Consider the following 23,829-nt stretch of genomic DNA (forward strand, 5'->3'; position numbering starts at 1 on the left):
GCAAGGTATAGCTGCAGCCCCCGTCTAAAATTCCCATGCATTACGCTTTTCAATGGCCACAGATTAAAGGTATTTAAATACATGTTAGTTATTTCCATTTCCAATGAGAGTTTAATAAAAGACTATATCTTCTCTTTTTAATGAGAATATTAACAACATTAGTAGGGGCCAAGAAGATTCTCCAAGTCTATGCAAGAGATTATATTTATATATCTGTTTTTATATCTATCATCAATCTATCTGTCATCTATCTACCTAAATTACCATTCAGTCCTCTCTTTTCCCGTAACATATCAGTGGAGATGTTATAGTAGTAAATGTGGCATTGTGGACATTTATAAACATTTGATTAAAACCATGGATTTCCCTTCCTGAAAATATTCATATGCACATACATCAATTTGCTGTATAATTTCCCTAAACTTATTCATGGACTCCCAATGTTAAAAATTTTATAGGACATTTTAAATTATAAAATATGATTTCTGTGCTATTCAAAATCATAAAAACCCACTATAGATAATTTTGCATCAAAAATCACAAATTTCTAACAACGCACCTTTAATAAGTTTAACACAAATCATAGTTCTCCTTCCACATCACATATTCTCTATTCTATAAGTTGCTTGACCTCCCACTTTGTAAGAATCCTTTCTGTTTCTATTTGAGTATTCTTGTTCTCCCAAGGGATGGATATCTCAGATTTAAAGATAAAGCTTTTATTTTAAAACATGAATACACAACCCAGCACAGTACTATGAAATCTCAGAAGTTCTTCCTAATGTTTAACGTAAATATTTCCTATGCCAGATGTAGCTATTTTCCTTGTCACTTTTGCATCATAGGCTAGAGGATTACAAACTGATTACCCAGACTGCACTTCTCTGCCCTACATACTAGCAAATTCTGCTGCTTCCAATTTTCCACGAAGAGCTCATCCTTCAAGCATCTACTCCATCTGGGGAGCTGTGGTGGCCTTTATCTAAAACTAGATTTAACACCAGAACTCTAGATGTGGGTTTTCAAATGGAATAAGAGGTCATGTGGGATAGAGAGCTCTTTTCTTTCATACTATGTGATGGATGATATCGTTTGGATATCTGTCCCTGCCCAAATCTCATTTTGAAATGTAATCTCCAATGTTGGAGGTGGGGCCTGGTGGGAGATGTTTGAATCATGGGAGCAGATGCCTCATGAATGGCTTGGGTCATCCCCTTGATGATAAGTGAACTCTCTCTCTGAGTTTGCATGAGATCTGGCTGTGTAAAAGTGTGTGGCTTCTCCCCTGCATTGCTCCTGATTTTGCCATGTGACATACCTGCTCCTCCTTTGCCTTGTCATGATTGTAAGCTTCCTGAGGCTTCCCTAGAAACCAAGGAGATGCCAGCACCATGCTTCCTGTAAAACCTGCAGAACTGTGAGCCGATCAAAACTATTGTCTTCATAAATTACCCAGTCTCAAGTATTTCTTTATAGCAATGCAAGAATAATCTAATACAATAGCCTACTTTAATAAAGTTTGAACTTTGTATGCAAATGTTACACATTACTAAAACATTTTTATTTTTATTTATTTATTTTTTGTTTTTTATTTTTTTGAGATGGAGTCTCTCACTCTGTCACCCAGGCTGGAGTGCAGCAGCATGAACCTGGCTCACAGCAGCCTCCGCCTCCTGGGTTCAAGTGATTCTCCTGCCTCAGCCTCCCTAGTAGCTGGGATTACAGGCGTGTGCCACCACGCCTGGCTAATTTTTGTATTTTTAGTAGAGAAAGTGTTTCACCATGTTGGCCAGGCTGGTCTCAAATTCCTGACCTCAAGTGATCCACCAGCCTTGTCCTGTCCTCTCAAAGTGCTGAGATTACAGGCATGAGCTAACATACTTGGCCCTACTAAGACATTTTTAAATAGTGAAAGCCACCCACTAGAACATAAAAGAAAATTTAAAAAAATGCCTCTCTTCCAAATTTCAGCAGTCTTAACTAATTTTATTTCTCTATATTCTCCTAGCTTTTTAACCTGCACTCAGTGTTACCAGATGTAATCAATGTAGATACAGCCATTTGTTGATCGTATACACAGTACTGGTTAAATGTGAACTCTGCAGACAGACTCTCTACATTTGAATCCCAAACCCAGGGGTTATCAGCCCTGCAATCTTGCTCAGTTCCTTCATGTGTAAATTAGGGACCATAATAGTACTACCTAATAATATTACTGTTAGGCTTAATAAATGTAAAGTCCTTCAAAAGTGTTTGGCACATTAAAAGGACCTAATAAATGCTATATTTATTATGACTAGTTATTTAGTTCCTCTATATAACACTAGGTTGGAGCCAATTTTCTGCAGTTGCAGAGTCTACCCAATAACTCTTAATGGCCACACAATATTTCTTTACCTCTTGGCATGTAAACTCATTTAATAATTTCTATACCATTGGGTATTTAAATTGTTTCCATCTTTTACTATTATAGCTAATACTACAAAGAATATCTTCAGACATACAGCTCTTTTTTTTCTCCTTTGAAGTGATTTTATTAAGACAAATTTCTGAGTTTAATAAATGGCTGAAAAGCTGAACATTGTTAGTGAGCCCTGTGTTATAAAGAGAAACAAAACTGACATCCATTCAGGTTAGTGGCAAGGTGTTTCATTAAAGAACATGGAATATTTGTAATACTGTAGTATTACTGAAAAAGAGTAACTTTCATGGGCCACAATTTCAATTTTGTGTTCCACATCCTCCTGCATTCTGAGGTCAATGGAGTCAGGACCTAGCGGTTTTTCAGTAGAAATCTTTCACATATAAAATTCAAGGCCTTTTTGCTCTGATGACCATAGAGCTATTTTTCACAGAAATAAAGCTTTTCCTGATGGTCTTGAAACAACTTCCCACAGCTCAATGAAAAGCAAAAGCATTTTTCTTTTCTCCAAGGAGCCTCAGGCTACATGTAATACAGCACTTAATTTCCTGCACCTTAGTTGGTAACTGTTAAATCAATTCATGAGCAAAGAACTGAACTTTCTTGAAATTCTCCACTCATGCTATTCCACTATATCAACATTTCATAAAACCCCTCATTTCTCCCCTACTATTACTGGGCAAAGTGAACTAAGAAGAGAAAAAGAAAAGAAAAATAATTCAATCTAAGTTACTATGAACCACAGCAGATCTCATGAAGGGTACTGGGGAGAAATAAGATGTTAAGTACATTGCAGGAGCTGACAAACTAATTCTGGATGAGCCAAGTCACAAAAAATTAAGAGAATTATTGTATCTTATACGTTATGTATCCTTCACTATTTCAGCAAAGGTAAACTAAAATGACAAATATGTTTCCACACTTACATAACCCATATATTCCTCCAGATTGTAGAAGAAAAATGCTATGCTGAAATTTTTAAAAAGAAGGAAAAAAGGTAAGACAGATGAATGGATGGAGGGAAGAAAAGTGGGAAGGAAGGAAGGAAGGAAGGAAGGAAGGAAAGAAGGAAGGAAGGAAGGAAGATAAAAGAATCCACTAATTCAATGGGAAGAAAATAGGGAGATATAATGGGTGTTGGTGGATGTTAGAATTCCACCAAAAACACCTCAAATTCCATTTAAATTGATTTGATATGTAGGTTTTTCTTGCCCTTCTGAGTTTCTCAGATAGTATATTGGCAGGCAGCCTCATTCCCTGCAGTAAGGATGGTTCTTAAAAAACTGGACCAAAATCAATCAATTAGACATTGCCAAAGATTTCTCTCCAAGTGTCATCTAAAAATCATTAACTGTGGCATGAAATATCATGGACATTGTATAAGACATCCATGCATCATTTTTGGTTACCAAGGAAGAATAAGCCTCATGTTTGAAACTACAGAGCCTCCTTCATGTCATGTATTTAGTAACATCCAGTACATCTGCTGGCTTTGTATGAATTCAGAGGTTCAAGCACTCTTCAAATTCTTTTCTCCTGTATTCTGTGTTATTCGCCCATTAAACTTTTTCTGAGTCGACATAAGTATCTGCATTGTTGAATGCTGTACTGTCAACCAGAACTATTGTGAATCTGATTCTCAGCCCATTTGCTGGAAGTTACAGTAGCAAGGCTGAAACATTACAATAGCAAGGCAAAGTCTGATTTGGCTCAGAATTCCTGATTTAAACTCCCATCAGCGTATCCCACCCATCTTTGAAATCCAACCTACAAAGCCTAACTTACCATTTCCCACCTACCTGCCTATCTCTAGCTTTCCCTATCACCTCTGCCTTCCTTCTTTCTACTAATGGTATCTTCCAACCTTTACTTAATTTACTCCTAATTTTTCCTTTAGATATCAATTCAAATATTTCTGTTTGGGGGGAAGTCTTTCCCAACCCTCATCCCCAGATTAGATCAGTCCACTCTCATGTATCACATCTGAATGTTTTATAAACAAACACAAAGGCAACTTAATGCAGGAGTCTGAAAGACATACAATATGTCCCAAGGAAGAGGTAGAGAAGCTGAGGACACTAGTTTTGCAGCACTGTAAAAAGAAGTATCCCAAAGGATTCAGAATTTCCCAGGCTACAGACTGACTCCTTGGTTTACTGAGACGTCTTAAAACGGCTCTTCAAAGCTGATCTCCTAATTGTGATTCTTGCCTAGAATCTGATCTGGTCCTACTCATTTCTCTTATCCAGTTCTAGGGTTTTCTGGGAAGACAGGAGAGGGAAAAATATTGACTTTCCTCCAAGTGATATTAGGAATGACTAATAAAAATAATGGTGAGTCCTGGAAAATTCAGAGAGCTGCATTAAAAAATTAATGGCCCGAGTTCCTTGGAGTCATCTGAAAATTAAACAATCACCCAGAGACAAATCCAAATTTTTTTAAAAAAGCATTTCATAAAGACACAGTTTATTCTAGGAATTTTCAGTAACTGTTATTGCTTTTTTGTGGTAGCTATGCTTCAAGTAAGGCTCATTTCGTTTCAAGCCTAACTTAGTTCCATTGCAGACAAGGAAAGGGGACGGGGAGGTTATATTTTCATATTATCTGATTTTGTGAAATTGCTATGTAAAAATGTAATCCATTTCATGAAGATAAAAAACTACTTTAAAACATTTTTAAATAAAATAAAACGTAACCAGTGAAATATGGCTGCATGATTACGGGGCACAGTTGAACCTAATTACCAGCAAATTACAAACCACTCCACTAAATGAATATAAATCCTCAACAATGGAGAAGGGGGCTCTATGACTATATGATATGCTTGGTACTCTTTTAAATGATACTTCCCTATTTGAGTAAAACAAAGAAGAAACTGCAAAGGGATGAGGCAGGATAACTGCGGCTCATTTGTCACAAGGCTCCAACTTGCTTGATTTTTCCCTGTGTGTCAGAGAATGTGCACATTGAAAGAGAGGGAGCTCTCCATCACCAAGAGAGCCCAAAAATAGCCCAACTGATCATAGCCATTGTAAAAATATTCATGGATGTAAGGAAAGATCCTTTCCCAGTCTGATGCTCCTTGACTTGTGATTTGCTAAATTTGAGAAGCCATCACTTACACAACCTGTTTTATAGACAAATCCTTCCAGTTTCAGAAGAAAAAATGTCATCTATCTCAACCTCCATCTCTTTTTCAAACTTCGATAGATGAGAAGAAAATGGTGAATAAATTTTTAGAATCAGTTTTGCAAGATTGGTTTCAAGGAAGGAAGAGAACAGGTGAAGTGGATAGAGCCACACTTCCCACATAACTAAGGGCAAGTTAGTTTTATCACTTTTGGGTAAAGTGTTCCCTATGAGGGGATTTACTCCTTTCATAAGAAAATCAATCTCTTCTTCCAACAAAAGCTACTGAACCACTTATGCTGTTACATAAATGTGTTAATGGGGAAATCCATTCAAACATCTGCACTAAGCACTCTGTATTTATACATATGAATGAGATTGAGAGACACTGCCATTCCTACTGTTTTAGCTTCCACTATAGTGGAAAAGGGAAAATATATACAATATACTCTGATCCAAGGAGAAAGAAGAAAACTTCACAAAATACAAACTTGTTAAAAAATAAAGACAAAAAGACCAAGTTTCCCTGGGGCTGAAGCTGGGTTATGGGCACAGACAAACATAGGGCCTCTAAGAGAGTCCTGCATGCTAGGCAATATTTAGAGTTCTTCCTCACCAGTAGCTCAGGATGCATTCAGATGTAAGCTCGAGGAGTCACGCAGCATCTCTTGGCATTATTGGTTGTTTGCACATCCATGTCTGTAGCTGGACTGCAAACCATTCTCAAGGTGGTAAATATTCTTCCCTGGGGCTTTGTGCATGGTACACCCTCAGTAAATATTAAATGAATGGATGTATATCTGACACTGGGCGTGTCAAGGCTTCGGAAAATTTACTTCCACTCCCATAAAACTTCTTCTTTAAAAAATGCTTGCAAAAATAATAGATAGGAGGATTCAATTTGTGTTTGCAACCTTGAGACAGCAAGCTGAGGAACTGGTTTGTCTGCTTGCTGCCCGTGTCCTTCCTGCTCAGTGGACTGATTCAAGGATTTGAGTCTTCAGGATGTTAAGTGAGTGAATTAAAAAAAAAAAAAAGTAGAACTGAAAACAGTGAAAAATGCCTGTCATCAGCATCGTAATGACTGATCACCATCAGCCAGATAATTATACAGGCTGAAGATGATTTTTACAAACATAAAACCTAAAATAGATGCCTCAAGGTTAACACATCCTAATTATCTTTTGTATAAACATCGTATAAACACTCTATACTCTATTTTTAAAGGTACTGCTAAAGAAAAAATAAAAAGAAATAGAGTTAATAAAGATTATTTGCTATATCCAGAGATATACTGAAATTCCAGAATAAATCTTCCTATTACATTATTACCTATCAAGGTAGAGCAGAGTAAAAATTCCACCAATACAAGCATCTTTGTAAAATAACATATTTAATATGCACACTTACCAAAATATTACAGTGAGAAAATCAGTGACAAGTATTTATGTATATAAAATGTGTAGAGTAAGCCATACCAAAAATAAATAACAGAGAAAGTACTTCAAAAATTCCATATTTGCCTACTGTTTATATACCTCACAAGAACTATACCTATTAACACACTTGAGAGAAGATACATAGTAATAAAAATAGGAACGTGGTCACACTGATGGCTAATCAGAAAAACTATTTGGTGTAAACCAGGGTCGTCAGAGTTTAAGAATTTGGCAAGAAAGAGAGGAAGAGAGAGGAGAGAGAAGAGGGGAAAGAGAGAGAGATAGAATATAGAAGAAATGGTTTCTACTTACAGCTACTATCTAATCCCCTGGCTTTTCTGAAGTTGAAGCCAATAATATGTGAATACTTTAAGGATACGTAAGCATTTGTCCAAATTAGCATGACTGATGTTCAGATAAGGACATAACAAGGACACAGTGTGGCACTAAAGAAACAAAGTTGCTAATAACATACAGCTTTTGCAAGTAAACTGGTTTCCTTCATATCAATCACTGTGGAAGGCTTCACATTTTCTTTATCCAACGATGCCATCAGTACAAAGTCCATGGTTTAGGTGTTTCTTTAAATTATGCTTTAAGAACCTAGGACAGGTCCTTCAACTGTTTTCAAAGGGAAAAAAAATACATCCTAACAAAGTGAAAACAGATCTTTCAAATAATATAGATAATGAAGCTGCATATTAATGTTTTAGATTAAAGATGATTAGTATCTATTATTTCTTTTGTTCAGTACCTGGCATGAGAGCTATCTATAAGTAATCAGACTTTATTTATAGATAAATAAAATTTATAGGAAGCCATTCGTTTAGACTGAGCTCCTGCACCAAGCCCAACAGACCAAACCAAGATGGAGTCACTCATGCTGAAATTCCTCATCACCAAGCCAAAACTAAGTTGTTTATTTGACCTTTTAAGCAATCAGGAGAGACTCACATCCCCAAACAGTCCAGTTTTAGGTACTACGATAAGGAAGTTCCTCCTGCATTAACCTTTGCAAGTAAAGTAACTTTGAAAAGACCAATTTGCTTTTTGTTTTCTATATATGTTTTCCTCTACCCTTTTCTGTTTGTAAAACCAAACTCTGTTCAGCTCATTGAAATATTCATTCTATTTTATAGAATGCAAAATTGCTTGACTCTAGAATGGTAAATAAAAAACAATTAGGATCTTCAAACTAAAATCTGTTGTAATTTTGTCTTTAGAATTATATCTACCTGTTGGGACTAGAAAAGGTTTTGTGAAGGTGGTGTTTTCTAAGTGGGAACTAAAAAGATTGGTAGAAACAATACAGGAAAACACAATAGAAAAATAATGAAGAGAGTTTGCCCAAGGAATGGTAAGATATCCTTTTTAGTTAAGTAAAGTATAAGTAAGATAAACAACTAGAAATGTACTTTGGGGACAAAATGTGAAGAAATATGAATGTCAAGCCACGGAATTTGGACTTTACTCATTGTTCTCCAGGAAATTATGAAAGATTATAAATTACGAGATTGGCTTGACCACATTGTTCAGATAACTCCACATTCCAACCTCCCAGCTAAGGATATTGCCTCACTGTCACCTCACTGAGATGGATTGGAACCCCTTTCCCTGTAATCTGAAACTAACATAAATTATATTACCAACAGCATCTTGTATGTATCACAACACTCCATATAAAACCAACACCTACTGATAAGGGATGGAATAACGTTACTTACTTTTCTAGATTATCAATGTTAACAGTCAGCGATTCATTAAGAATCATCAAACCTTGGAGTTAAAGAGGCTCATATATGCAGTGTTCAAAAAGCAAACGTGGAAACAAATGCTCACTGGCAGGAGAGCTGATTCACCAGTCGTACAGTCACTGCAGAAAATATAGTCCACGTGTTTAAGCACTAAAGTTTCTTTTCCCTCACAAGAGCACAACTTCAAGAGGAAATGCATGGGTAAAATGGATAAATCCCAGGCCTACACAACAACCTAGATGAAGTCTAGAAATTTAGTGCTGAGTAAAATGGACAAGTTTGTTCAAGTCATCATCCAGCGCAAATCACAATGTTCTGAATGTGTTCTGACAAGGTTTTAGAGTGTAGATTCACTACTTTTTTGGTTACAGCTTATTTTAAAATTTATGATTTCTTATAAACTCACAGATAACCAAGGTGCCTTATGAGAAAATGATTCTCATTTTAATGTTGTTGTTGCAAGTTAGAAAACAATACCCCCAACTGAAGGCCTCAGAATCCAATCTTTTTCTGTCCTTTTCCTGTCCTCCTGCCTCTCAGTTCCAATTTTTCCTGAGGTTAGCCATAGAAACTAGACCCCTTCTTTCCCAAGGTGGGTGATAGAAACCAGAACCCCATTTCCCTGAAGCCAGCCAAAAACCTTAACATATTACTCTAACTTGCCCCCTCTACCTTTCTGTACAAAAATTGGCTATGAAAAAATTATCTGACCTACCTTGTTTAACTGTAGGTAATAAGATTCCCTTTCCAGAGAGGGTCCTCACCACACTCAGAAGAAAGGAATACGTACTCAGAAAGGCCAAGAAAAATCTAGACAGACAGGTCTTACTGAGTTTCCCTACTCAGTCTATTAGCATTAAATCATATTCGTTTTGTCCAATCATATTTCTACAGGATACTGTCCATACTTTGTTAAACCTAAGAATAAAAAGGGACAAATTATTCCCCTGCTTCTTTGGGCCTTCATTCTGAAAGGCTTCATGTCATGTAAAACTGTGATCAAACAAATTTATATGCCTTTTTCCTCTCAATCTGCCTCTTGTCAATAATTTTCAGTGAACCTTAAGGCAGCAGAGGAAAATTTTTCTCTTAGCCCGTATACTCTCCATTCATTGATAAAATGATTCACTGCTGTCCCTATCAAAGAATAGATTGTTTCTAAGTGAAGATATTATCTCAAGTTTATTCAGATTTTAGAGATATGCCTAGGCCAGAAGAGAGAAGCCAGAAGTTGGTAAGAGGAGCCAAATTTGAGGAGCAGTCATAAAACACTTATTACTTTTATTGGGCTGAATGAGAAAGCATTCTGTAAAGATTTCTGTCCATATGCATAACTGCTGTGATTGCAAAACCAAGAGACACAGTAAAGACGGTTTTCAAGGGAAACCAAAGAATGATGCTTGGTCTGCAGTGGGGGCAGCTGTTTGATCAATCTCTATAGGGTATTCACATGAAGTTTTTGGTCCACAAGAGGCAAATCTCTTACTATTTTTAACTGGGTAACTATGAGTATTGCTTGCAGAACCTACAACTGTGTTGCAGTGCTCACTACTGCTTGCATGGGTCTTTACAGTGAACATTCTTTCCTCCTTGCGTGTATTCAGAGCACGGAAGTCCACCGCCCAGCATCTGTATGAGGATCTGGCTGTCACAGTCCCTGCAGCTCCTATCCCGTACACATACATTTCCCTGTTTTCTTTTTTTGAGACAGAGTCTCGCTCTGTCGCCCTGGCTGGAGTGCAGTGGTGCGATCTCAGCCCACTGCAACCTTCACCTCCCGGGTTCAAGCGATTCTTCTGCCTCAGCCTCCCAAGTAGCTGGGAATACAGGCGCCTGCCACCATGCCCAGCTAATTTTTGTATTTTTAGTAGAGACGGGGTTTCGCCATGTTGGCCAGGCTAGTCCTGAACTCCTGACCTCGTGATCCACCTGCCTCAGCCTCCCAAAGTGCTGGGATTACAGGTGTGAGACACCGCGCCCAGCCACATTTCTCCTTTAAAGGTTTTACGCTGTTACCAATCAGTCAGCTTACCTACGTTAAAGACTGAAAATCATCACTATGTTAACATATATTGATGAATAGACATTATGTATGTAACAGGATTTTTTTAAATGACAAACTTTGACTAAGGCATCAGGGAATAGATATGAACTCTAAAATTTTATTCCAGAAAATATAGAAATCTGAAAATAGGTAACACAGAAATTGATTACACTGCTCTAAATTCTACAAGGAAGACATAGAAAGTTTAAGAGTAGGGCTTGGTAATTTCTTCATCTAAAACCTAGAGAAAGGGCTTCAATAGGGCCATGGAGAGTTTTTGATCTTCTTCCCATTGTACTGAGAAGCACAGTACACCAACGTCAAAATATAGTCCCACCTAGGAACGTAGAAAGCAAGGGCAAGGAGCTCATCCTATATTTTGACTGAACGGCATTCCCAAAGCTGGTCAAGACAGAGGAGAATGAGTGTATAATACTTCTAGAATAGATGTGGGCCACATGGCAAAAAAGAACCAGCCTAGAGTCTTTTAAAACTCCAATGCAAGAGAACAGGGTAAGAGGAAACGAGGCTTTAATAGGAAAAGCCTACATATGGTAGAAAGTGGAAAACCAAGAGCTGATGGAAAAGTGGTTTGAAGGTGAGAAGTCATCACTGACCGGACAGAGTTTCAGTTGGAGAGCCCACAAAGGGAAGTCTCTAAAAAACCCTTAACTACAGTAGGTAAGCGCTACCCCCAGATTCTTACTGAAGTACCAATCAAGTAACAATTCTCTGGTTCCCTTCCTGCTCCTCCCTCTCCATAGTCTAACTAGTCCTGAAGATATCAGTCATGGTGGTTGGTTTGGGCAGTGGGGGTGACTAAAATTTTTGGTGGCCTTCCTGCAAGAATGTCACAGTTAGGGCCTGATTGTGGATGAGAGTGTGGAATGAATAACCTTTGAATAACGAAGGAAGTGTTTATATTATATTGAGCTGGGAAATTTACTTATTAAGTGAATAAGTGTTTTACAACTTGAAGAAAAATGATGAGTTTCATCCATGGACATGGGAAAATTTTTCTTATGCATAAATTTTTAAAGGACAGTTAAAGAAAATGATCAGTTTGTATACTGATTTTACCTTATAAGTCATGCTTGGTTAATGTATGAGTATATATATATATATATATATATAAAATGTACATTCCCATAGAGAACTTTATTTAACCTAGACAGCCACTCTGTGAGATAAATATGTCTCTCATTTCATAGGTAAAGAAAATGACTCTAAGAGAGAGCATTTAAGACAATCAATAGCTTGCTTGAATTGAATGAACTGCCAGACATTTTTCTAAGCATTTCACATATTTATTTCATTTAATTCTAATAACAACCCTATGAAGTAGTCACTATTATATTCCCCATTTTATAGATGAAGAAACAGAGGCATAGAGATACTAAAGTTCACAGCCAGCAAGTGATATGGTCAGCAATTACACCTGTCAGTTGAGCTTCAGAGCCTACAGTCCTATCCAGGAGGCACATGATATAGTGAGTGAGCAGCAAAGCCAGCGTCTACACCAGAAATCCTGAATGAGATTTCCCCTAGATCAATTTGTGAGGACTCAGCTGTATCATAAACAATAAAACAAAAGTTAAAAAGGAAGGAGGGCAGCACAACAGGTCTGTCACTATCTTGCTGTGTGGCATGGGGTAAATAACTTACATTTTCTGGGCTTGAGTTTCCATGTCGATTAAATTAAGGAAATGGACTAGAGAGTCTCCAGGGTCCCTTCCAGATTTGAATTTGATTTCCAGCTCTAAAAGAATATGTGTGTGGTGGGTAGCTAATGCATATTAAATTATGCAAACAATTTAGCCTTGCATTTGACTGCAGGGCTGATGAAATATTTTTAAAATTTACATTTACATAAGAGATAGTTTTGAAAAAATGCTATCTGAACATAACATGCAATCAAAAATATGTTTTATAACATGTCAACTGGATGAAAATAAAAGACAGTTTCAAAGATCAAAGAAGCCTAAATGTGTTTTTTTAAAGAGAGTGTGATGGGGTTATACATAGATTCATTATTATTATTTTTAGAACTGCACAGCTGTTTTGGCAGCTTGTTTTGTAAATCCTACTTTGCAAATGTAATGAGGTTTTTTTCCAAACAAATGTTAGTTAATGGAGCAGATAACACATTTATTTCCTTGTCATAGCTTAGCATTAAATAAGAAATGTAACAAGAATTCAGAGTTTAAAATATGAAACATGGTATTTGGTCTCTTTACTTACTAGTTACAAAATTAGAAAATAACTCAATATTTTACTTTCTCTCCATATATATTATAATTATCTGTAATTATAAAATATTTTTCATAACTTCATTTCTTGTCACATAAGTCTTTTGCTACTGTAAAATCAATAGTTGTATTACTAGTGCCTCTTCAAAGCAAATCTCAAGTCGCTGAGCAGAAATTTTTATAGTATCTGACATGATTTAGGCACTTCTTATGTGCAAAATACTGCTCTGAATGCTTTACATTTATGATATTATTTTTTTCTCACAACGAACCCATATCTAGGAACTATCATCCTCATTTGACAAATGAGGAAACTGAGGCAGAAAGAGTAACTTGCCAAAGTTAATCAGTTAGTTGAAGAGCTAGGATGTGACAACAGACCGTTGAGAGGTGCAGAATAAAACCAGAAACAACAGGATAAATAGCAATAATATAAGCTAAAATATTGTAATTTTTAGTTCAAATGTTTGAGGCTTTGATGTGATATCTTAGATATATTTCCACAGAAGGTCTGTCTTAAAAATGTAAAATTTAGGCCTTTTTTGAAGCCTTATTTATTCTTGAAAATTCTGTTTCATTACAAAAAGGATTTGACAAGAGAAATGCTGTTCTCCACTTACTCACTACACTGAATGATGGGGCCTCAGAAATTTGTGGTGCAGTTTTCCTTACACTTTCTGCAGTCTCTCACATTCAGTGTGTGGGGTATATTAGTTTCCTGGGGCTGCCACTACAATCACCACAAACTGGGTGGCTTAGACAACAAAAACTTATTATCTCACAGTTCTGAAGGCCAGAATTCTAAAACCAAAACGTCAGCAAGGCCATCTTCCCTCTGAATCCTCTAGGGAAGAATCCTAGTTTGCCTTTTCCTAGCTTTGGGGGGTTAATGAAAATCTTTGGTGTTTTTGGTTTGTAGCCACATCACTTCACCCTCTGCCTCTGTCTTCACACGGCCTTCTACCTGTGTATCTCTGCATCTCTCCTTCTTTTATAAGGACACTAGTCATTGGATGGAGGGCCCACTCTGAATCAAGTATGACATCATCTCAAGGTCCTTAATTAATTATATATGTAGAAAGCCTATTTCCAAATAAGGTCACATTCTGAGATTCGAAGTACACATGAATTTGGAGGACACTATTCATGTGTGGAGATACTGTGGCCTGGCATTAAGTTGACATTGACATACACCTCTGAGAGACCCTATATTAAACACATAATCTCTGTAATGACTTCACAGATGTCTCCATGCTGCCGAAGGTCGCACTGTGACCTCAGCTTGGGCACTTAGCAACACATGGGCAAACAGTTTTCAGCGATCTCAAAGGACTGAGGTGAAAGGATTAGGGGTAATCCTCTGAGTACAGTGCATCCAGGGCTTACCTAAAACATAACAAATATGTGCCTCAGCCCTCCCAAAGCTGTTCCCTATAGCCCTTATGCAATCCTAGAGTGCAAAGGCTTCAGTGTTTCAAATCCTCATACTTCCTGTAATCGTTTCCTGATTATACTGCAGATGCTAGTATGAAAATGTCTACTTGGAGATTTCCTGCAAAACTGTTTCCATAAATCTCCAATAACAGTGTAAATTAGAAACGAGAATTAACCTACACTCATCTGACTGCCATGACATACAGAGAACACACTACTCATTCATTTGCTGTAGGTAGTCACTTCATCCACTTGAAGAACATTCGTAAGTGATAGGTGGTGTTTTTAATCATAAGTTAGTAAAATGTGTATTTTATTGGTAGGTTATATTTTCAATCTTCTAAATATTTCTGAACAATTGTCTGATTAATTCCTTAGAATGCAAGCTCCATTTGTTCTCAGATTTCTTGCCAATATCTAGGTGAACATCTGGTACATAGTAGGTACTCAACACAACACATATTTTTTGAGTAAATGAATGAATGAGTGAATGAACTTGGCTGAATGAATGAATGAAACTGGATGACAAAGAAGAGAATGCAAAATTACTAGATTCTTAAATACACAACATGCCCCCTTATTACTCTAGTCAAAAAATAATTTATGCTAAAAGAGCTATTTTGTTTTGGATTCTCTTCCACTGTGTGCCGTCCCTCCATACTCCCACTATGAGATGTTTGAAAATTTTCTTTAAGGAGTGGCTAAGTGTACTATGTACCAAAATCAAAAAGTAAGTATGTAAATGACTATATCTTTGTTTTCACTGTGGCTTCCAAGGAGTTCTAGGTCAATTAATTGGGTCAAATATAAAAGCTCCATAGGCCTTTATGCCTACAGATTCTGTATATCTAATATTTATCTGATATATGTATATTAGATATATATATGTATATATTAGAGAGACAGAGAGAGCTGTAACACATATAACAATATGACCTCGAATTAATATTTTACTCTTGTTTCCCACATTAAGAAGTTCATTCTTTTGAATAGTTTCAGGTCTACAGAAATTGCACAGAGAGTGCAGAGAGTATATACTATAAATAAGGCACCAGATGTGATTACTCAGGAAGAGCGAAGAGACATGTAGAGCTTAATTTCTGCCCATGAGGTAAGTGGACGTGAGAGATATACACATAAACAGATAAAATGGATGCCTTGTACTGTTGAAAAAGGGATGACCATGTTTTGCAGGCAGTATTACAGTGTTTCCTAGAATCAAGAAATGCTGTATGTGAGGGAAAACCGGGAGGGACTTCCCAGATGAAGTGGCTCTTGGACTGGCCTTTGAAAAATAATGTAAAGGTACAACAGGTATGAGAAAAATTTTCGTGACATGAATGGCATAACACATATTTTTGAATGTTATCTAAAATATTAGATGAATGTAACCACCATAGTCTGGGGCTAGAACATATGGAACCACAGTCTAGAAGAACTATTACTATTTATGTTATTTATAATAGTAATAACAGTATGAAAAGTTCTTTGTCAGTTGTGATTCACTCTGGGTAGGACATTGTGATTCACCTTGTTTTCTTTCCAAACAAAAACATTATTATCTTTAATAATTTTTTGACATCAGAGAGGCAACTAAACTCTTCGTTAAAGGATAAGGTTGAGCACAGGCATTTATTTGATCATTTATATTCAGCTCTATTCATAAAAGGATTGAAAATAATTTCCACACACATATAATTAAATAGCTATAGGATTTCAGTTTTTAGGAGATTTTAGTTAGAATAGTTATTTGTGTACACATGTTATCACTCCTGGTTGGGAGAGAATATCATTTTACCTTAGAAGGGTAAATTGTCACCCCTTTATTTGCCACAACAGAGAAGCCGATTTTCAGTCACTCCTCCTACATCTTTATTCCATATGAGATGTAGGTAATCTCATTAGTCAAAACTTGATGCACTGGGCCATGTAAAAAATGAATAGGGCTATTTAGGTTTAAAAGGTGGTGGGAGAGTGGTCAGTCGGGGAAGCACTATTTTATATCACTGCCTGAATAGTGACAAAGAATTCCTCTCCTATTTCCACGTGGTCAGCACTTCTAAAACAGAGCCCAGGTTCTCTCAATCTCAGTGCACACATAAAAGCCTGAAATTCTCCTTCTTTCCTGCTCTACCAGAGAAATTCCACAAAGCTGAATGCATAAGAACATTTGGGATCACTTACAGACACAGCTTTCTCCACAGGTAGGCTCTGAGGTCTAATTCAGATACTCAGAAATAATCCCACACTCTGTCTTAGAGCAACACTGAATTCTGCATTGCAGCTTTTCCAGCTACTAGACACTTGCCACTAATAATAAAACTGTACTTTGCTCCCCATTTGCACTCTTGTCCCTATTTTCTACTAGTTAGAACCTAGAAAATCATTACTCCAAACCTCAACGTTCTTTCTACACTGGAAAGTTCTTGATGAGGAGGATCATGGAATATTCGCATTTTACCTTTGGTGACATGCTGATGATCACAGGGCACCCTGCCCATTGTGGATGTTCAATTAATATTCTTAAATGTAAATCTGGTTAATATAATTCTTTGAGATATCTGCTAAAATATGCCCCAATTGCTGCTATATTCTACTCTGTCCTTCAAATAATCTTTACACCAGAAGTTTCCAACACAAATGTAAAAAACATAGTATTACCTTTGCAATTTGGCTTCCCAATGATATGAGACTCTAGCTAAATGCAGGATATGGGGACAGAAGGGAGAGGAGATTTTCAAAAAAATAGGAAGAACAAAATGTATTGATCTATTTGATTTTTGAGAAGCAGGTCACACTGCAGAACAGCCTTTTATCTAGCATTCCACAGGGAGAGAGTAATGTTTGTCATGATTCTCAAGGCAAATCAATAGAGCTAGAGAATAAAAAGAACAAAACTCCAAATCTCAAGTTCCCAATTAACTCAGAAAGCAATGAAATCTAGACAAGCTCTAATGTAATGCACTGGCTTTCATAAAGTCATAGAATCAACAGGCTGGAAGTGTTGAAATAAGTTCCTGGAGTCACCTAGAAAACTACTGGGGAAGCTGGATTTTAACTCATTGGCCCTGGTGTTATGCAGCAAGCACTAGGCTCTTATCAGATTGCTGGTGACTCTGAAGTTATGAATGTTACTGGGATTTACAACAAGCTGATTGGACTGCCCAGGAGCTACTTTAGTTAGGTTCCACCAAGGTACAAGTACAGACATAGCCTTTATTCGGATACACATTACAGAGACGTATAACAAGCTATTGTAGTATACTAAGTACTATTTGGGATTTACCATGACCTGACAAATGCAGTGTTCAAGTCTTGAGTATACTGCTGCCCTATGAAATGAAATGTAATATAAATCATGTTCTGCCAGTTTAATCCCCATGACCCTTAGTAGTTGATAAGCAATACCTGTGACAGTGGAATTATTATCTCCATTTTACAGATGAGCTATATAAGCCTCAAAGAAATAAAGTAACTTGGCCATAACCACATTATTTCTAATTGGCCAAGCCAGTACTAAAATTCAAGCCTCCTGAGTCTAAACCTTATGCTCTTTTCACTACAATCTCAAGCAAATATCTTCACATCAAGAACTGATTTTCTAGATCAATGACTTATGAAGAATATCAGCTTATTACAGGGAATGCAACATGAGTAAATTAAATATCATTCATATAGTTTGCTCCTGTATTTTTTTTTCAAAAATGGCCTATGTAAATAAGCATTTTTCTAAGAATCTCTCATGTGAGTGTAGTTCAGTTACTGTCATTTTCTTATTATAACTTGAAATTCTTTTAAATTCTGAAGCTCTCGTTTCACTTTCTACCCTCTGTAATAAAACTGAAATGTCCAAAAAACTAATTATACTTTCATTTTTGGTGTTTATGCTGTGAACCACCTTTTAGGTCAAACTAAAATTATTTTCATGGCTGCCTTTAGTAATTAAAACTTCTTGCATGAAGTAAAAGAAATAACATCCTATTGTGAGAGTATTCTAGACTATTTCAAGGTTATCTTGTTTTTGGTGGAAATAACCAAAGATAATTGAGTGAACGAATAGTGTGCTCCTTAACTATGACAGCAAATGTTTGCATATTTACAATGTGCTGGAGATACAAAAATTAGCACAACCTGGTGCCTGTCCCTGACGAGACTGCAGTTTAGGAGAGATGGATACACAATCAATTAAACAAAAATTTATCAAACTTAGTCATATAAGCAAAGAATGGCAGGCTTAGAGAAGGCCAGTCATTCATTCATGTGATGCAAGTGAAAATTCCAATAAGGAGGTGATAACTGAACCTTGAAGTAACAGACATACTTTTGCTACAATATGAACTTTAAAAAGCTAAGGAGTAAAAGGATCAATCCTAGAGCTCTGAATTGTATATCATCGGATTTCTGGTTAAGTTTTCCATTACATGTGCTGTTGGCGCCCATCAGAGAGAGGTTAATTTTCTGATGGAGCTATGAAGCCTCCCAAAGGTCCTTACCAAATCAGAAAACCCTCCAACTCAAATATGCATCCATGGTAGACTCTGTTTGGAAGCGTTCCCACTCACTGTTTGCATTCACTGTTACTAGTGCTGAGTACTGTGGTGTTACTGAGTTATGGAGAATTTAAAGCAGCCAGAAATCTGTACCCTCTTTTTCAGTTGCTTAGAATGATCTGCAATCTGACTGAATTGATTGATTTCTGGGATCATGACCAGTTTTGGTTGTTTCACATATGCTTACAAATGGTAGATACAGAGGTTTTCAACAAGGAAATGTTAAATCGTCTCCCAAAAAGGCACAAAAGAGAGAATGGAATGAACTGATTCTTAATGAAGAAATAACTGAATGAAAAAGAAATCCTTTTATCTATTGTGTTAATTAATATTCACAAAACTTTTAAGACAATGGTTTATTGTTGTTCTGAGTATACTCTTGAGATTGATTTTTGTTTAATTATCTTCATTTTTATCAACAAGTGATCAAATAACACAACAGTTCCATGATAGCAGAGGGTTTTGACCACTTATGGGAAACTTTAAGACACTATATATCTGCTGCTAAGCCATGGCATGCACACTTACAATGTACAGAAGTGTTGCTGTAAAATATGTCAGCCTTTCAAAATGTTTTCTTCAGGGTTTACATCCTATGCAATTCTAAGATAATAAGGCAATTTACAAACTTATAAAAAAGCCAAAATAGAAAATTAATGATCAAACATAAATGGAATTGTCTGAATGACTCAGAATAAATTAAAGACTACCAGGCCTAAAATAAGAAAAATATAGCATTTGACTATACTAACCTTTTTTCTCCAAATAAATTTTGTCAATCTCCCTGTTTCTTTTTGATTAACGTTCAATGTTTAGATCTAATCACATCGACTACCATAATAATTTATGAACCATCCTTTATTTACTAATTCCCTTAGTGTTACTTCCTTAACCCTCATCTGCACTTAACAATTCACTGCTGGATATATTATCTCATTCTCCAGTTGTATTCCCTTTTTGCCTATTGTCTCTCCAAGTAAATCAGGGAGGAACCGTGTCTTGTACTTTCTTTGTATCTTAATGATACTTAACACAACTCTATGCATATACCTTTATTCAGCAGTTGTTCAGAGGTTAACAGTCCGTGAAATTTAGCTTATTGTTTTAATGTGTTTAGCTATCTGGTCTGTTGCATCAAAGCAGACTAGAAGCAGCAACCATGAGAAAAGCTCCGAAAGCTAGCACAGATGAGAAGAGATTACATTTAAAAAGCCAGCCAAAATAGTAAAACCACTAACCCCAAAGTAGACTGGGGTCCTTCAGTGGAGGGGCAAATGATTGCAAAACCTTCAGTGACTCTGAGAATGTAAATGAAAAGGGTATTCATCTAGATTCCAAGTTCAACAACTATTTATTTAATACTTATTGTGTGCCAAGAACTATGCCAGAATTTGAGTTTACAAAGGTTGACACGGCATCTGGATCATTTGCTTTTGAGATGCTCACTGTCTACTGGTGGAAAGGGATACATTATCTTATTTTCAAAAAAAAGAAAAAGTGGCAAATGCGATGACAAACACAAACACATTAGAGCAGAAGCGCAGACAAAAGATACTTCTTTAACCCAGCCTAAGCCAAAAAGGGCTTCCTGGTGTAGTAACTTCCCTTGATAAACTCAGTTGCCAAGAAAATGTAGTTATTGTCTGTTATTGTTTAATAAGGCACTAATCACTAATCACTCCTAGAAATAAGTTGAAGGAAAGGCTTTAGAATAAAAAAAATCTTCCAAAAGTGCTTCAGGATTTGGGGTGTTCACTATAGGCATAACTTTGGGTAGAAGTGACAAGTTTTCAAGCGATGTGTGGGCAGGGAAAAACTTAGTTTGTGAATTGCAATGCTACTCTGTGTGACAAAGATGCGTCATTCACAAAATACAAACAATTACCTAACAGAAAAATAAATTCACAGCAGGAACAAGAGTGATTTATAGCAATTAATGCAGAATACACTTAACACAGACATCAAGAAATACTATCAAAGCTGAAGCACAATTACATAAACCATCTAGGTATCGTTTAAGAGAAAGACAAAACATAGTATCTATTCTCCCGAAGGATTCATGAATCTTCCTTCAAAATTAGATTTATACCTGTGATTAATTTTTTTAATTTTTACTAAATTATGGTATGCTCTTTTGTTATAGCTGATATCCAGATGAAATTTATATTTAAAATACAAATGATACTTGTATCTTAATTGATGATTCCACGTTTCCACTTAACAGCCTGAAAGTTCATCCATGGCCATCCTATTTTCTTGAATCATCAACTATAAAGTGTTCATAATTAGGATTTTGGCAATGATAAATGTACTTAAGCAATGGAGCTCAAACTAATTCTTATTTAATGGCTTTTCAGTATCAAAGTAGACAAAATTTTAGTCTATCCCAAAACTAGTTTGTGCTGGTTACCAAGGAACATGGGACCTGGTTATAAATCCATTTTTCTATTTGAAATGACACTTTAAAGATTGGCTGCAAACTGTGCACTCAAGATATAAACACTATATTTCCATTTTAAATGTCTTCAACATTACCTAAGCTCTCATGTGCACCATGCCTTTTATGCTTAACTTTTATCACAGAACTACCATTCATGATACCAAAAAAGGCCTCATGTCCGAGTGCCCTTGACATCCTGCTACAAGAGGAAACCACTCACTGATACTCAAGTCTATTATCACCAAGAAATCTTTCCAGGAAATTAGATGACATTCAAGGAAAACACTGATAATCATGCAGGAACCTGAAGGTTATATTTTAAATGATTTGATCAGCCTCTGACGATAGGAAATAGATTTGGGGAAATAGCTGAGCATCTTTCATTCATTTATTCAACAGTTATTGATTATGTATTCACAATGCCAGGCTCCATTCTAAGTGCTGGGATGCAGGACCCAACAAGGTAGACAAGGTCCCTGGTCTCATGGAACTTACATTCCTTTGAATGAGTCCATCAGTGCCTAGCTAAATACATCAATAATTTCAGACAGTGGCAAGTGCTGTAATGACAACAAAATAGGTAACGTGACTGGTGATTTGGAGCAACAGGATAGCGTCTCAGCTTTTGTGCCAAAAGGAAGGTAAGAATAAAACGAGAAGGAACACTCACTGGAAGATATGAAGAAAAAAATAAGTAGAGGATTCAAATGCGAAAATACAATGACCATTCTAAGTCGATATGTGTGAGGAAGAGACTGGAATCTTGCTGGGTACTGCACAGACCTGGCTCCAGCCTACAGAAGAGAAGAGCAAACAATCCAGAGTGGGATTATCGACTGCATCTCTTATTTTCATTATGTGGGAGAGTTAACCACTTTTAACTTTTGTTTATTCACTACAAAATTAGAGGAACAACATCAAATTTCTAAGTTTGTAGTTAATATTAATTAGTGTAAATAAAGCACTTGGTACATATTAGATGTCCAATAAATGCCAGTTCTCTCTTTATCAGGGGAATAAGTAGAATTTACAAAATAGGGATTACAAGGAGATATGAAACCCAGTTATAATAATTTATTTTATAACACAGCTGACAGTGCCTCATTCAACCTTCCAGTAACCCTTCAGAAAAGGTTTTATCATCTTTCTCTTATGGATGAGAAAACTGAAGCTCAAAGAGATCAAGTGACATTTGCAAGATGATTGCTTTGCATGGGAGCTTGGAGTTAGACCCAACTAATATCTCCTCTTGGCTGGGGATGGAAAGACAAAGTTGTTGGTCAAAGGGTACAAAGTTTTAGTTAGATGAGAATAAGTTTTGAGATCAATTGCACAGCAGGGTGATTATAATCAATAATAATATATTGTGTAATGCAAAATTACTACGATAGTAAACTTCCAATTTCTTACCACAGAAAATTATGTGAGATGATAAATATGTTAATTAGTTTGACTTATTCCACTTTGTACATATATATCAAAACATCAGTCTGTACCTCATAAGTGTGTGCAATTATGATTTCTCAATTAAAAATAACAATTTTTAAAAAGATTTGGCTGCACTACACTGCCTACTGATCGTATCCCTATGATAAAGTAATACATAAGTCACAGCTTCAGATAAAGGCGTAGGAGCTTTTCATAAAGTAGTGAAAGAAGGGGAAGTTGTAGGAGTTACAATCTGTCTATAGAGTACAATTCCAAGTTACAATGGTTAAGGGCAAGCCTACTGAAGACAGCTAAGCCCAGCCCTGTGGTGTGCCATTTATTAGTCATACATGCGAAACACCTAGCATGCTACCTGACACTAACAGAGTATTCATTTGCCCAAGTTGTGCTGCTCGTGAGTAGCAGGGATGGGACTTGACCTCTCAAGTTTCCAACACATCATGATACTTATTTCTTCATGTAACTAGCTGGGAAATTCACTTGCTACACAGAAAAGACAGGTTCTTAAATTATATTGTATTAAAGTGACTCTTTGTTAAAACACAAAAATATCCCAATAGTTACATGCAGGTTGTATCCTTGTTAATAACAATATAGGAATCTTAGAATCAATTCTGGTCTGGTAAGCTATAAAGTTATTTACTTCAAAAAAAAGGACACATACAAAAAATATGTATATAACATACATGTATATACACACATACATCGAAAAACATCTATACATACAAGTGTGTATTTTTCACCTCTATGCATATATGTGTGTGTATTTATCTATCTATCTACATATACAATGTCACTATCCCTTGTTTATTAAATAACATTAAATTACCATGTCTCCAGTTCATGGACTGTACATGTATTTGTGCATAAATAAATTGCTTTTCTTATTATCTTCTGGTGATTTACTACTATTGAGTAG

The 23,829-nt window shown here is 36.3% G+C and overlaps 1 protein-coding gene and 1 long non-coding RNA gene across 8 annotated transcripts in view; one reads left to right on the forward strand and one right to left on the reverse strand.

The window, feature by feature from the left end:
• The window catches only part of FGF12-AS1 (FGF12 antisense RNA 1), a 44,468-nt gene extending 28,703 nt beyond the window's left edge, over window positions 1-15,765 (forward strand). The window contains exons 4-5 of the long non-coding RNA NR_046596.1: window positions 15,465-15,582; window positions 15,666-15,765. This is a non-coding gene — a long non-coding RNA (FGF12 antisense RNA 1). The remainder of the gene's footprint in view (window positions 1-15,464; window positions 15,583-15,665) is intronic.
• The window catches only part of FGF12 (fibroblast growth factor 12), a 588,152-nt gene that overhangs the window by 127,943 nt on the left and 436,380 nt on the right, over window positions 1-23,829 (reverse strand). The window lies entirely within an intron of this gene.

The sequence above is a fragment of the Homo sapiens genome, chromosome 3, assembly GCF_000001405.40.
Source record: "Homo sapiens chromosome 3, GRCh38.p14 Primary Assembly".
Lineage (NCBI taxonomy): Eukaryota > Metazoa > Chordata > Mammalia > Primates > Hominidae > Homo > Homo sapiens.